This window comes from Homo sapiens, chromosome 7, assembly GCF_000001405.40.
Source record: "Homo sapiens chromosome 7, GRCh38.p14 Primary Assembly".
Taxonomy (NCBI): Eukaryota; Metazoa; Chordata; class Mammalia; order Primates; family Hominidae; genus Homo; species Homo sapiens.
In genome coordinates, this window is record NC_000007.14 from 130204802 (window position 1) to 130217102 (window position 12301).

General features: G+C 41.4%; 2 protein-coding genes across 8 annotated transcripts in view, besides 4 other annotated features; one reads left to right on the forward strand and one right to left on the reverse strand.

Moving 5' to 3' along the window:
- The window catches only part of TMEM209 (transmembrane protein 209), a 40694-nt gene extending 40089 nt beyond the window's left edge, over positions 1-605 (reverse strand). For 3 of the 4 annotated variants that reach the window (NR_156699.2, NM_001301163.2, NM_032842.4), the window contains exon 1: positions 572-605. Coding sequence is in view for 2 of the 4 variants with exons in the window: in NM_001301163.2 (NP_001288092.1) it covers positions 572-574 (3 nt within the window). In the remaining 2 variants the exon portion in view is untranslated. Of the gene's footprint in view, positions 1-281 lie in introns of all 4 variants that reach the window. The other variant, NM_001363478.2, reaches the window with a different exon arrangement.
- Positions 44-843: an enhancer, noted in NCBI's record as "NANOG-H3K27ac-H3K4me1 hESC enhancer chr7:129844685-129845484 (GRCh37/hg19 assembly coordinates)". NCBI's record gives its function as "activates a minimal SCP1, AML or CMV promoter by ChIP-STARR-seq in primed H9 embryonic stem cells {active_cell/tissue: H9 hESC(primed)}" and the evidence as "EXISTENCE:reporter gene assay evidence [ECO:0000049][PMID:30033119]".
- Positions 44-869: a biological region, named in NCBI's record as "NANOG-H3K27ac-H3K4me1 hESC enhancer GRCh37_chr7:129844685-129845484".
- Positions 520-699: an enhancer, noted in NCBI's record as "active region_26650". NCBI's record gives its function as "activates an Ori minimal core promoter by ATAC-STARR-seq in GM12878 lymphoblastoid cells {active_cell/tissue: GM12878}" and the evidence as "EXISTENCE:reporter gene assay evidence [ECO:0000049][PMID:35858748]".
- On the forward strand, positions 609-12043 carry SSMEM1 (serine rich single-pass membrane protein 1). Of its 4 annotated transcripts, none has more exons than XM_011515795.3 (3): positions 609-684; positions 8679-8733; positions 11173-12043. In XM_011515795.3, the coding sequence occupies exons 2-3, from the start codon at positions 8679-8681 to the stop codon at positions 11667-11669; spliced, it is 552 nt and encodes a 183-aa protein (XP_011514097.1). In that variant the 5' UTR covers positions 609-684; the 3' UTR covers positions 11670-12043. The 4 variants fall into 4 exon arrangements, with proteins under 4 accessions (XP_011514097.1, XP_005250198.1, NP_660311.1 ...); XM_005250141.5 differs by lacking the exon at positions 609-684 and adding an exon at positions 719-835; NM_145268.4 differs by lacking the exon at positions 609-684 and adding an exon at positions 3059-3292.
- Positions 760-869: an enhancer, noted in NCBI's record as "active region_26651". NCBI's record gives its function as "activates an Ori minimal core promoter by ATAC-STARR-seq in GM12878 lymphoblastoid cells {active_cell/tissue: GM12878}" and the evidence as "EXISTENCE:reporter gene assay evidence [ECO:0000049][PMID:35858748]".
- Positions 12044-12301: the final 258 nt, after the last annotated feature.

Sequence of the window (12301 nt, forward strand, 5' to 3'; positions counted from 1 at the left end):
GGAGACTATATTCCATATCTGCTGTAAGTCATAAAGACTGTTGTACATCCTCATGCAGACGCCATTACTATCTCAACAACTCTGCACTTGGACAGCTGTACTCCAGGGCTCTCCCTTTTGTGTGTGGATAAAGGACAAGGATCCAAGTTTTAGAAGGGCACGTACTTATGATGGGGTGGTGAGCGGAGTAAGAGGGAGAGAGGGGAAAACGTGCATTGTTTTGGTCCACATTTGGGATTTATAATTCCTCCTTTCTTCAGCTAGGCTCAACTCTTACAGACCGTGCAAAACTTGTTCCAGCGACAAGCAGTCGTATCCCACAGAGGACAGAGCAATAGCTTTCGCGCCACTCAGCCCCCGCGTCCCAATTTCCCAGTCCAGAGCTTCCCTCCCCGGCTCCTGGGCACGAACTTCAGCAACCCTATTGCTTCTTTCTTCCCTTCCCCTAGAGAGGCGGAACGCCTAGCCACATCCCCCTTGGCTGAACCCAGGACAGATCAGCAGGCGCGGAACTCCCACAACCCGCGTAGATTCCAAGACAGGAAGCACAAACACGACCCCGAAAACGCACCATGTCCTCTGGCCGGAAAACGCAGGCTCGCGCCACTCTCTCTGGGCATGCGCAAAGCCAAGCTCAAGCGGGAGGCCACCGGCAAGCGGCTCTAAAGTTACCGGAAGAACTAGGTAGTCTCTTCTCGCGAGAAAGGGAGGGGTCGCAGGCCCAGGCGCTCGGAGCGTTACCAGGGAAACAGGTCTCGGTTTTGCGGCTCCCACTCAGCTGCGGGAGAAAGCTAAGCAGCAAAATTCAGACCAGGCTCTGAACCCGCAGTAAAAAGTAATAATTGTAACAAGCTGAATTTTGTATCTATTAATATAATTTTAGCTTCCCTAGGGCATTTATGGACTCACATGTGTAAACTGATTAAGTAGGGCGGCTCACCGTAGGATAGAGTGGCGTGATAAAGTGGCCAGACACCATCAGTGACAAAGCATTTCTTTCCCCTGTGTTAAAGTATCTATGTCAAGAGTCCTGACCCCATGTAATTTTTTTTTTGGTAGAGACAGGGTTTCGCCATGTTGGCCAGTCTGGTCTCGATTTCCTAACCTCAAGGGATCCGCCCGCCTCAGCCTCCCAAACGCCTGCTGGCCTCCCACCGCCTTTTGGGATTACAGGCGTGGCCCACCGCGCCCGGCCTAAATTCTTAATCTGTTTAATAGGGTGCAGCAATAACAAGCACACCCAAAATTTGTTTTATTGAAGTTGCTAGTGGTTTTGAGGTTAAAAATAATAACACATTTTCGTATGTATTTTTTGGAAGAGCTGCTCATCCTGAGGAAAAGGTTGAGCTTTGTTTTATTTAGCACAAATACCTACAAGTGTGCCGCTGAGCCAGGCGCACGGATATAGAAAATAAGACCTTCCTGGTTATTACCCAGAGGAGCTCAACCCCAGCGGAGGCCCACAGATGCATTTCGGTGGCAGGTGAGGTGGATGCAGTGCTCCCCAAGGAGGCGCATCCAGCCCAGCCCCAGCTCTCGCGAGCTTCCTGGAGGAGATGACGCGTTAGAGTCCACAGCCAGAAACCCAGGGCCTGGGGACTTGTTCTGAAGTGTGCCTCCTAATAAAAACATTAAGCCATGCCACAGTAAGCTAGTGGATTACATCATGTATGTCCAATGGCCAAAGTTTTTCCTAAAATGATCCTAAGATTAATACCACGTGGTATTGTATATTAATGAAAATCGGCAGGTATGCTGTGCTCTTGAAGAGCTGTTAAGTTTTATCATTTTTAGATTGCTTTAGCAGCAATGTTGTTTTGCTCTAGTTTTAGATTTAGAGATGAACTAACTGGAAAATTGTTCAAAGTGAAAGGGCTCAAGGTGCAATCAAAATTAGAATACCGGCCGGGCGCGGTGGCTCACGCCTGTAATCCCAACACTTTGGGAGGCCGAGGCGGGCGGATCACGAGGTCAGGAGATGGAGACCAGCCTGGCCAAGACGCTGAAACCCTGTCTCTACTAAAAAGACAAAAAATTAGTAGGGCGTGGTGGCATGCGCCTGTAATCCCAATTACTCTGGAGGCTGAGGCAGGAGAATCACTTGAGCCTGGGAAGCCGAGGTTGCGGTGAGCCAAGATGGTGCCACTGCATTCCAGTCTGGGCGACAGAGTGAGACCCTGCTAAAAAAAAAAAAAAAAAAAATTAGAATACCGGTTTCCCACCCCCTCCATATGTGACTCTTTCCTAAGAAGAAATTGTATGCATTTGATGTAGTTCATAGTAGTTCATAACGGGCACATCTGTGTTTTTCCCTCTTAATCTATAAGCTGTTGTGCATTTATTCAAGGCTTAAAAAAGAACACCACTGACCAAATGACAGCATTATGTATTAGGGCTGCCATAACGCAATATCACAGACAGGTGGCTTAAACAACAGAAATTATTTTTTTCATAATTTTGGAGGCTGGAAGTCTAAGATCAAATTGTCAGCAGGGTTGGTTTCTCCTGAGGCGGGTCTCCTTGCAGACGGCCCCCTTGTATTGTGACCTTGATTTCTGTGCTCGTGAATCCTTGCTGTCTTCTTGTAAGGATACCAATTGTATTGGATTAGGGCCCTTATGACCTCATTTAACTTTAATTACCTCCTTAAAGGCCCTGTCTCCAAATAGAGTCACACTGGAGGTGAGGGCTTCAACATATGAATTTTAGGGAACACAGTTTGATCGGTAATACATTAGAACTGTCTATGATAATTTGCAATGGCATGATACATATAAAAGAGACTGAATTAAAATGAGTGGATACATTAAACACTTAGACGTGAAGATAGGAAAATATAGCATATACAAGTTTTAGGAAAAAAAATTAAGGCAGAATGCACCATATTGAGGTATGGGGGAAAATAACATAAACATTCAGAGGAGTAATTTGAATAACCTTCCACAAACTTAGAAGTCCAAGAAGCATTTGTCAGTTCCTAGAACAGTTGCTTAAGTATGTGTCATAATAGGTTGCCAAGGAAATTGTCATACATCATAGAGGGAGTGAAGTAGTTCCCAGTCATCTTTATCCCTTTAAGCATGGTTTATTTTCTGAGCAAGGAGTCATCATGGGAGACCTTTTTTCCTTATTTTGGGAGGTAGATCCTCCCCCAATACCTGTAAATTGTGCCATTCCAAATCAGGATTATGAATGCTGGAAGGATGACTCTTGTGGAACCATAGGGAGCTTCCTGCTTTGGTATTTTGTTATCGTATTTGTCCTGATGTTCTTCTCTAGGGCTTCTGTCTGGGTAGGATATCTTTTTTTCATTTTAAATAATATGTTTACTGTACACTAGGAAAATTTCCATAAAATACATTTACTATACTTTGATGAAACTACTTTTAAAAGTTGTTTAGTTTTAAAAATAATGCAATCTTATTCTGGAGAATCCAGGAATATGGAAAAGGATGAAGAGGAAAATATAAAGCTACAGTTATCCTCTTTCCCAGAGATAACCACTGTTAACATTTTGGAGTATGTTCTTCCAGTTTGGTTTTTTTCTCTGCCTTTCCCAATATATCTCTCTCCATTTCTCTATCTTTGATCTTACATGGTTGGCATTATATTGCATATATTTTCATATCCTGCTTTTTAAGCTTAATAATATATCAGAAATACTTCTTTAAATTATATTCACTCAGCAGCACTTTTAATGACTGCATAATTTTCTATATTTTGATTGCACCAAAAAATTGTGCAAGTTTGAAACATTCAGATTGTTTACAGTTTATCCATCTGCTATGTAATGCTGGCATAAACCTCCCTGCTGGTTAATGACTTCCAAATCCCTTTTCTAGCCATGTGATTCTAATCAAAGATATGAAAGTTGTCATATTGATAGGATACATGCTGTAGGATTTTGGGGTTTTTAGAATGAAGCAATACGCTTTCTGCACAGAATAAGCAGAACTAGACTAAACAGAACTAAAGTCACCACTAAAATGCCATCGTCTTAAGAATGAGATATCCCACTTTATCAGGACTGTGATGCTTCCAACATATTATGAGTAACCAAGCTCTTTTTTTTTTTTCTTGAGATGGAGTCTTGCTCTGTCACCCAGGCTGGAGTGAAGTGGTGCAATCTTGGCTCACTACAACCTCCGCCTCCCGGATTCAAGTGACTCTCCTGCCTCAGCCTCCCTTGTAGCTGGGACCACAGGCGCAAGCCACCACGCTCTGCTAACTTCTGTATTTTTAGTACAGATGGGGTTTCACCATGTTGGCCAGGCTGGTCTCAAACTCCTGACCTCAAGTAGTCTGCCCGCTTTGGCCTCCCAAAGTGCTGGGATTACAGGCATGAGCCACCGCGCCCAGCCGTAACCAAGCTCTTATAATTTGCTGACATGATATCCTTGCTGGCCATTAATACCAGGCTGATGATTAAGAAAACCACCATCATTTAGCATTATAGCCATAGGCCTGGGCTGGCAGTGGTAAGACTTAATGCTCTATGAGCTCGGATGGGGTGGAGAAGGTTTGTTATGTCCATGCCAGCTGGATTCCATTCTAATCAAAGACTCTTTGATAACCACCACCTCCTGGTGAAGAACTTTCATCTAAAGTCTAAATGCTTCTTAAGGTAAATACTTTGCCAAAAGGAGATTTAGAATAATGATAGCTTATATGTGTCTTAGACTCCCTAGCTAAGTATATTGAATTTGGCCTGGCAAGCAAAGCTACTTTAGAAAATTACCAAAAAAATTTCATCATGAATTAAGAGGTCTAAGCTATTTTTTTTATTTTTATTTTTTGAGACGGAGTCTCGCCCTGTTGCCCAGGCTGGAGTGCAATGGCACGATCTTGGCTCACTGCAACCTCAGCCTCCTGGGTTCCAGTGATTCTCCTGCCTCAGCCTCCTGAGTAGCTGGGATTATAGGCGTGCATCTCCACGCGCAGCTAATTTTTGTATTTTTAGTAGAGATGGAGTTTCACCATGTTGGCCAGGCTGGTGTCGAACTCCTGACCTCGTGATCCACCCGCCTCGGCCTCCCAAAGTGCTGGCATTACAGGCGTGAGCCACCACGCCTGGCCCAGTCTAAGCTATTTTTTCTGCTCCCTTGCTTGCATCAGCTCTTGGGAGTCATACAGCCTTGAGCTTCCAGGACCTCAAGAGAGCATGTGGTCCAGCCTTCTGTTTGTAGGCAAGTAAGTTATCATTATCCCTCCCCCACTCATTTTTTTATTGATAAGCCCCAAGTAAATTAAGTGACTTGTCCAATGTCACAAAAGTGTTAGTGACAGAAGGGGAATATACCCAGATTTCCTGTCAAATTATTTGTTTGCTTCAAAGCATAGTTTGAAATGTCCACTTAGATCTACTCAGTCCTGATTAAAACCTTAATTATTTTAGAGGTTTCGTTTTTCACTTTGTACCCTTGTGGCAGCTACAATCAGCTAGACTGCTTCTTCTGAAGGGTCCCAGATTTGAAATCTGAGAACAATATGAGAGCTAGTAAAGGAGGATGGAATTTTTCCTTCACTTTGAACTTCTTCATTTTCTCTGCTAAACTATGAGGCTTTATTTACAAACCTTGAAGTAATGGTAAAAGCACGATGGAAATGTGGTGGTAATTATCCTCCAACATGAAGCACGCTGATTTCCTCTGAATTTGCCACTTTTTAAAGTGGCATTTACCCTTTTGCTTTCAGACTATAAATACTATATTTAGTTTATATTTTTATTTTGTGTTTATTCAGATTGCTAGTGCTGGTATTTTTCTGGACAATGGTAATCCAAACACCTTATTTTGCTTATGTGGAAACTGAGCTTAAGAGGTGTTAAGTGGCTTGGAAAAATCAAGAGTTGTTAGTGGCAGAAAGAGAGCCACGGCCCACATTTTCTACTCTGCCCCTCAGGGCAGGCACTCCTGCTGTTTTCACTCACTGAGTCACAAAGACAGTTAATAAAATGCTTTTCGTAACCACAGTTCATATGATCCCACTTAGTTTAATGCAAAATCTTTCTTTTGATTTTGTGGCTATGTTTTGATTTGACATCAAATGTGAGAGCTTTCTGTGGAAATGATATAAGCCTAATAAGTGTTTTTAAATACCTTCTCCTGTCTATTACAAAAGTACACATTATATAGAAAATGTGGAAATTATAGGGCAGAAGACAAAATAAAATAAAAATCACTCCAGATTATGTAGAAATAACCAACTACTGTTAACTTTTAGGTTTATAAACTTCCAATTATTTTGATTTTCTTTACATATATTAAATTTATTTTTTTCCTTTTCTATAACCTAAGTGATACATATTAAATTTAAAATATTTAAGCCTCTTCCAAAAGCATTTTTTATAAAGTGGTATCTTTTTTTTTTTTTTTTTGAGACAGAGTCTCGCTGTCACCCAAGCTGGAGTGCAGTGGTGCAATCTCTGCTCACTGCAAGCTCCGCCTCTCAGGTTCACACCATTCTCCTGCCTCAGCCTCCTGAGTAGCTGGGACTACAGGCACCCACCACCACACCCGGCTAATTTTTTTTGTATTTTAAGTAGAGACAGGGTTTCACCGTGTTAGCCAGGATGGTCTCGATCTCCTGACCTTGTGATCTGCCCGCCTCAGCCTCCCAAAGTGCTGGGATTACAGGCATGAGCCACCGTGTCTGGCCAGAAAGTGGTATCTTAAAAGTGAACTCCGCTTTCAAGATTTTTGGAGAATGATTGCTGTAACCCAGAAAACAAAAAGGCACCTCATTAAAGATGCTTGCCTACCATTGCAGAGATCAGATATTAAGAATGAGCTGAGGATCTTAGATTGCAGTTATAAATACCGAACTATGGCACTTTTCATCCCAAAGAAACTGGACTTCCACATAAACTCATTTTTTTCCTAATTGTAGACAATTTGAAAAAATTAGAAGAGAAAAAGTCCATTTCACCACTTAAAGCCAACCATAGCTATCACTTTTATATGCTCCTTAAAGTCTTTTTTTTCATATTTTAAGCTAATTTGTCGCTCAAGCTGTATATACAAATTTGCATCTTGATGTTTAACCCAGTATGGTAGCACACTTATTTCCTCATGTTATGACATACTTTTATTATAATAATTTTACAACTGTTTATTATATAATTGTACCATAATTTACTTAAACCATTGTCTACTTTTGAATTTTCTATTATCCTAATTATACTGTGATGAATGTTTCTGTGGACAAAGCTTTCTTTCTTCTGAGGGTTATTTCTTGCTGATAGATTCCTGGAGAGAGAATTATATGTCAAAGGTGTTAATGAAAATTTCTAGTTTTTGTTATTTTCTGAAAGAGTTGGTTTATATCTGTGTCTTTTGGCAAAATCACTTTCAGCATTAGAAAGTGGGACACTAATCTGAAAAATGGGACAAATATATTTATGGAGTATTGGGGGGCAGAATATTTGAAATTGAAACTATTCAAAGAAATCCATTTCTTTTGGTTGCTGTATTCACAAATAATATATCATGATTACATTTTGGAGGAAACTTTCGGAGGGATTAAGGAGATATTAAGTTCATGAATTCGGTAAAGATCTTTGTGTATGGTAGATGTCTTCTGTCTTAAAGAACTATCAGTAATGTACCCTGATCAAGTGTCCTTTAAGAACTAAACTAATCTGGGCCAGGCGCGGTGGCTTACATCCGTAATCCCAGCACTTTGGGAGGCTGAGGCAGGTGGATCACCTGAGATCAGGAGTTCGAGACCAGCCTTTTCAACATGGAGAAACCCTGTCTCTACTAAAAATACAAAATTAGCCGGGCGTGGTGGTGCATGTCGGTAATCCCAGCTACTCGGGAGGCTGAGACGGGAGAATCACTTGAACCTGGGAGGCGGAGATTTCAGTGAGCTGAGATCGCACCATTGTACTCTAGCCTGGGCATACAGAGCAAGACTCCGTCTCAAAAAAAAAACAAAAACAAAAACAAAAAAACAAAACAAAAAAACAACAACTAAACTAATCTGAGTACTATCAAATTTTTTAAAAACACTACTTCTCTGTAATGTAAATGGGTACAGGAAAGCTTTATAAGCTATAGCTCCTTGTCAGTGTTATTTTCTCTCAAGTCTGTTCCATTTTGTTTGGTCCAAAACATTTTGGTAGATGCTGCTATCAAAGCATAGTCTTAATGGGAAGTGGAAGTAGGATCACTATAACAGGAACTCAATACATACTGAATTAGCTTATTATTTAACTCAGTAAGTACTTGTTTAAACTGAATGTTTAAAATTAGACATTGTCAGGCCAGGCCCAGTGGCTCATACCTGTAATCCCAGCACTTTCGGAGGCCAAGGTGGGCAGATCACTTGAGGTCAGGAGTTCAAGACCAGCCTGGCCAACATGGTGAAACCCTGTCTCTACTAAAAATACAAAAATTAGCCGGGCGTGGTAGCGGGCACCTGTAATCCCAGCTACTTGGGAGGCCGAGGCAGGAGAATCACTTGAACCCGGAAGATAGAGGTTGCAGTGAGCTGAGATCATGCCACTGCACTCCAGCCTGGGCAACAGAGTGAGACTCTCCAAAAATAAATAAATAAAATAATAAAAAAATAAAACCAGACATTATAAATGGGCCTCAGCAATAGTGTTTTATAACAAGTACATATTATCAAAAAACAACTGAGATCACTCTTACTAACCTATGTTTCTGAAACAGATGTCTGAGGATAAAAAGGATGAAGGCAGTGGGACAAGTACTTCAGTAAGGAAAGGTGAGAACCAGTGCATATTTGGTGTTGGACTATGAGGGGAAGAATATGTGTGGTGTTGCATGCCTGTAGTCCCAGCTACTCAGAAGGCTGAGGCAGGAGGATTGCTTGAGCTAAGCAGTTCAAGACCACAGCTTGAGAACATAGTGAGACCCAGTACCAAAAAAAAAAAAAAAAAAAAAAGAAAAGAAAAGAAAAAGAAAAAAAGAAAAATGAAATAAAGACAAAGAAAGAAATTTGTGCTGAGTGTGGAAAGCAAAAAACAGAGATGAACAGCCAACAGCATTGTAAGACTTTGCACACTAGAGGAGGCCCATTGGGGTTGGGTGAGTTTTTGCTTTGGACTCCCTAGTGCAGAGGGACAGTTTAGCTGCTTAGCAAGAAGCTATGAATTACTGGGAGGTGGAACTCAAGTTCTTTTTTCACTCCTTAGCTCTCTCCCTTCACATTGCTTGCCCTTCCCACATCCTCATGGTTAGTGCTATTACAGGATTATGAACTGTCTATGACATCTTTTTCAATAACCTATAAGCAGTGGTGCACTGGTAAATGTTTAACAACTGGTTCTCCAAAACTCCTGTGTGTACATATGCTTACTAAAAATTTTACTGATATAAAGGTTGCACGTCATCTCAGCACCTCCAGAGGCTGAAGCAGGAGAACTGCTTGAGGCCAGGAGTTCAAGATCAGCCTGGAGAACATAGCAAAACCCTGTCTTTTTAAAAAAGAAAATTAGCTGGCATGGTTGTTCGCACCTGCGGTCTCAGCTACTCAGGAGGCTGAGGCAACAGAATCACTTGAGCCCAGGAGTTCGAGGCTGCCAGTGAGGCATAATCATGCCACTACACTCCAGCCTGGGCGGCACAGTGAGTCCCTGACTCTAAAAATTTAATAAATAAATAAATAAAAATAAATAAATATATATCACACCATTTAAAATAATAAAATATACAATACTCCTTATGGCCAATTTCATATAGACAACTGATTCTCACAAAACGCTCTCCTTCATTTTTGCCAGACCCTTGCACCTTAGCCAACCATGGCTGCAATTGATGAACAAGTATAGTTCCAGCGTGAATGTTATTTTCCTCTAAGTTAAGGAGTGAGATGAAAATGAAGCAGAAGATAGATGTATGTTGGAACTTAACTTGGTTGTCAGTGATGTGAGTGACTTCTTTGCTGGAATGGATAATAGTTCTAAAATACTGGAAGAATATTTCCTCATTTTGCAGGGTTAGTCACAATGTAGTGGCTACAGGGATGATACTGAAATGTAATATGTAATCTGCATTAGTAACATGTTCTCCATCATTTTCTTAAGCCTAGACAATCAACAAAGCCATACATCAAGCCCTGATGTTTAGTGTCTGCTGATTTTCGTGGTATAAATACTTCCACCAAAGCTGATTTTAAGCTATCCACCTCATGTCATTGAACATGGAGTTGGGAGGAGATGTGCAGTAGTGCACCCTTAACATAGAATTTCCGCCGGGCGTGGTGGCTCACGCCTGTAATCTCAGCACTTTGGGTGGCCAAGGAGGGTGGATCTCCTGAGGTCAGGAGTTCGAGACCAGCCTGGCCAACATGGCAAAACCCTGTCTCTACTAAAAATACAAAAAAATTAGCTGTGCATGGTGGCACGTGCCTATAATCCCAGCTGCTGGGGGGCTGAGGCAGGAGGATCACTTGAACCTGGGAGACAGACATTGCAGTGAGCCGAGATCGTGCCACTGCACTCTAGCCTGGGCAACAGAGCGAGACTCCATCTCAAAAACAAAAAAAAACAAAACAAAAAAACAGCATAGAGTTTCCAGCATCCAAATACAACGGACATAAAAAACCAGAAGAGCACATAGCATAAACAAATGTAGTAAGATAATTAGGAAGTGATGGGTTTTGAGTATTACCTCTATTTTTAGTAACTTAATTTATTGTAAGTTGGTATAATTTAATTTTTAATAATGGCTATGTTTAACCATCTCTCAAAATTCCTGAAAGTTTATCAGCTCTTCTGAGCAGGTACAAGCCAACTTCCTCACACCACTACGTAAAGGAAAGATCCTTCTTAGTTCCTGCTCCCCAAATCACATTCATATACCTGCTTGAATCTGTAAGACTTCAATTTTCAAAGGGAAAAAAGAGTTCTTCCCTGGAAAAGTTTAGAGATCTTTTCCTTTGACCTTATGTTTAGCATCCACAAAACTTCAAAAGTGATATGGTGATATGTCAAGCATCTATCTAAGCTCTCTGGTCTGCAGGAGTTGGGATATGGTACTAGAAAATGCAGTCAGCTGCCAACACTTGCAGGTGACTGGAGAAAAGCAATGGCTTGACAACTGGCCACTAAGAGTGAGCTCACACGTGCACAGGCTTCTTAAGTAATAGGAATTCATAGTAACCAACAATATTACTAACTTGATATGTTTCATTGGTTGTTAGCAAGCAAAGAGACTTCCTGTAAGCGGCAAAGCAAAGACAGTGCCTGGGATCCCTCACAAACAATGAAGAAACCAAAGCAGAACCAACTTACCCCTGTAACCAACTCAGAAGTGGCTTTGGTCAATGCCTATCCTGAACAAAGACGAGCCAGGCGCCAGTCTCAGTTCAATGAGGTGAACCAGAACCAACATGACAGTGATACTACGGAGTATGGCAGTGAAGAGTCTAACTCAGAAGCCTCCTCGTGGAAGGAGAGTGAAAGTGAACACCACCCATCACCAGACAGTATTAAGAGGAGAAAAATGGCTCAGAGGCAAAGGAATCTGGGAAGTTACCAAATGAGCGAAAGGCACTGCCTCCACTGCAAAGCCTTGAGAACCAACGAATGGTTGGCGCACCATTCCCGACAGAAGCCTTCAGTAACACCGCCAATGAAAAGAGACAGTCAAGAGGAAAGTTCCATATCTGACATTAACAAGAAATTTAGTAAATTTTGAATTTTATCACGTTCTTCCTTCACTTGAAGCCAAATGAAAGAGATGAATAAAACATGAAAAATCACCAGAGCTATAGGTGAGGAGACTTTTACAACAAAGTCTCTCTACCAACAAACAAAAACATACTTGGAACCCAAGAGGTAAAATCTCACACAATTCTTCGTTCAAAAAAAAAAAGGCCATCACGTGTTTATGGCACCATTGGAACACCAAAGATCTATATCTGCTATGATTTTTTTATTTGAAATAGCACAAGACAGATATTTTGTGCCTTGAGTGTATATATTTTGTGCCTTGAGTGTATGTATTTTGTTTATGTCTGTAATATGAATAAGAAAGCTCTTTGAAAATGTATTATTTATGTTGAGAAACCACTTAAATGTATTCAGATGTTTTGCTTATCTGACTGACTGAATGAACTAGGTGAAGTTGGTTGGAATAGAATTGCCCCATCCTCTCTAGGTTTGACCCTACAAGAACTGTATTGCCACACATGTCAGCTAGGGGCTGGTGTGGAAGAGGAGCTCAAGAGGCTGGAATAAGATCTGATTCCTGGAGTAGGGAGGAGAGGCAGCATGACCCAGAAGGCAGTTGGCAGTGGGCTACCCACGGTTGTCATCCACAAAGTGCAT

Bases quoted from the DNA above. Each gene is read 5' to 3' on its own strand.
- SSMEM1 (NM_145268.4), top strand. From the start codon at position 3,110: ATGGGAGACCTTTTTTCCTTATTTTGGGAGGTAGATCCTCCCCCAATA. The intron at 3,293-8,678 runs GTAGGATATCTT...TTTCTGAAACAG, and splicing joins TCTCTAGGGCTTCTGTCTGG to ATGTCTGAGGATAAAAAGGA. The intron at 8,734-11,172 runs GTGAGAACCAGT...ATTGGTTGTTAG, and splicing joins AAGTACTTCAGTAAGGAAAG to CAAGCAAAGAGACTTCCTGT.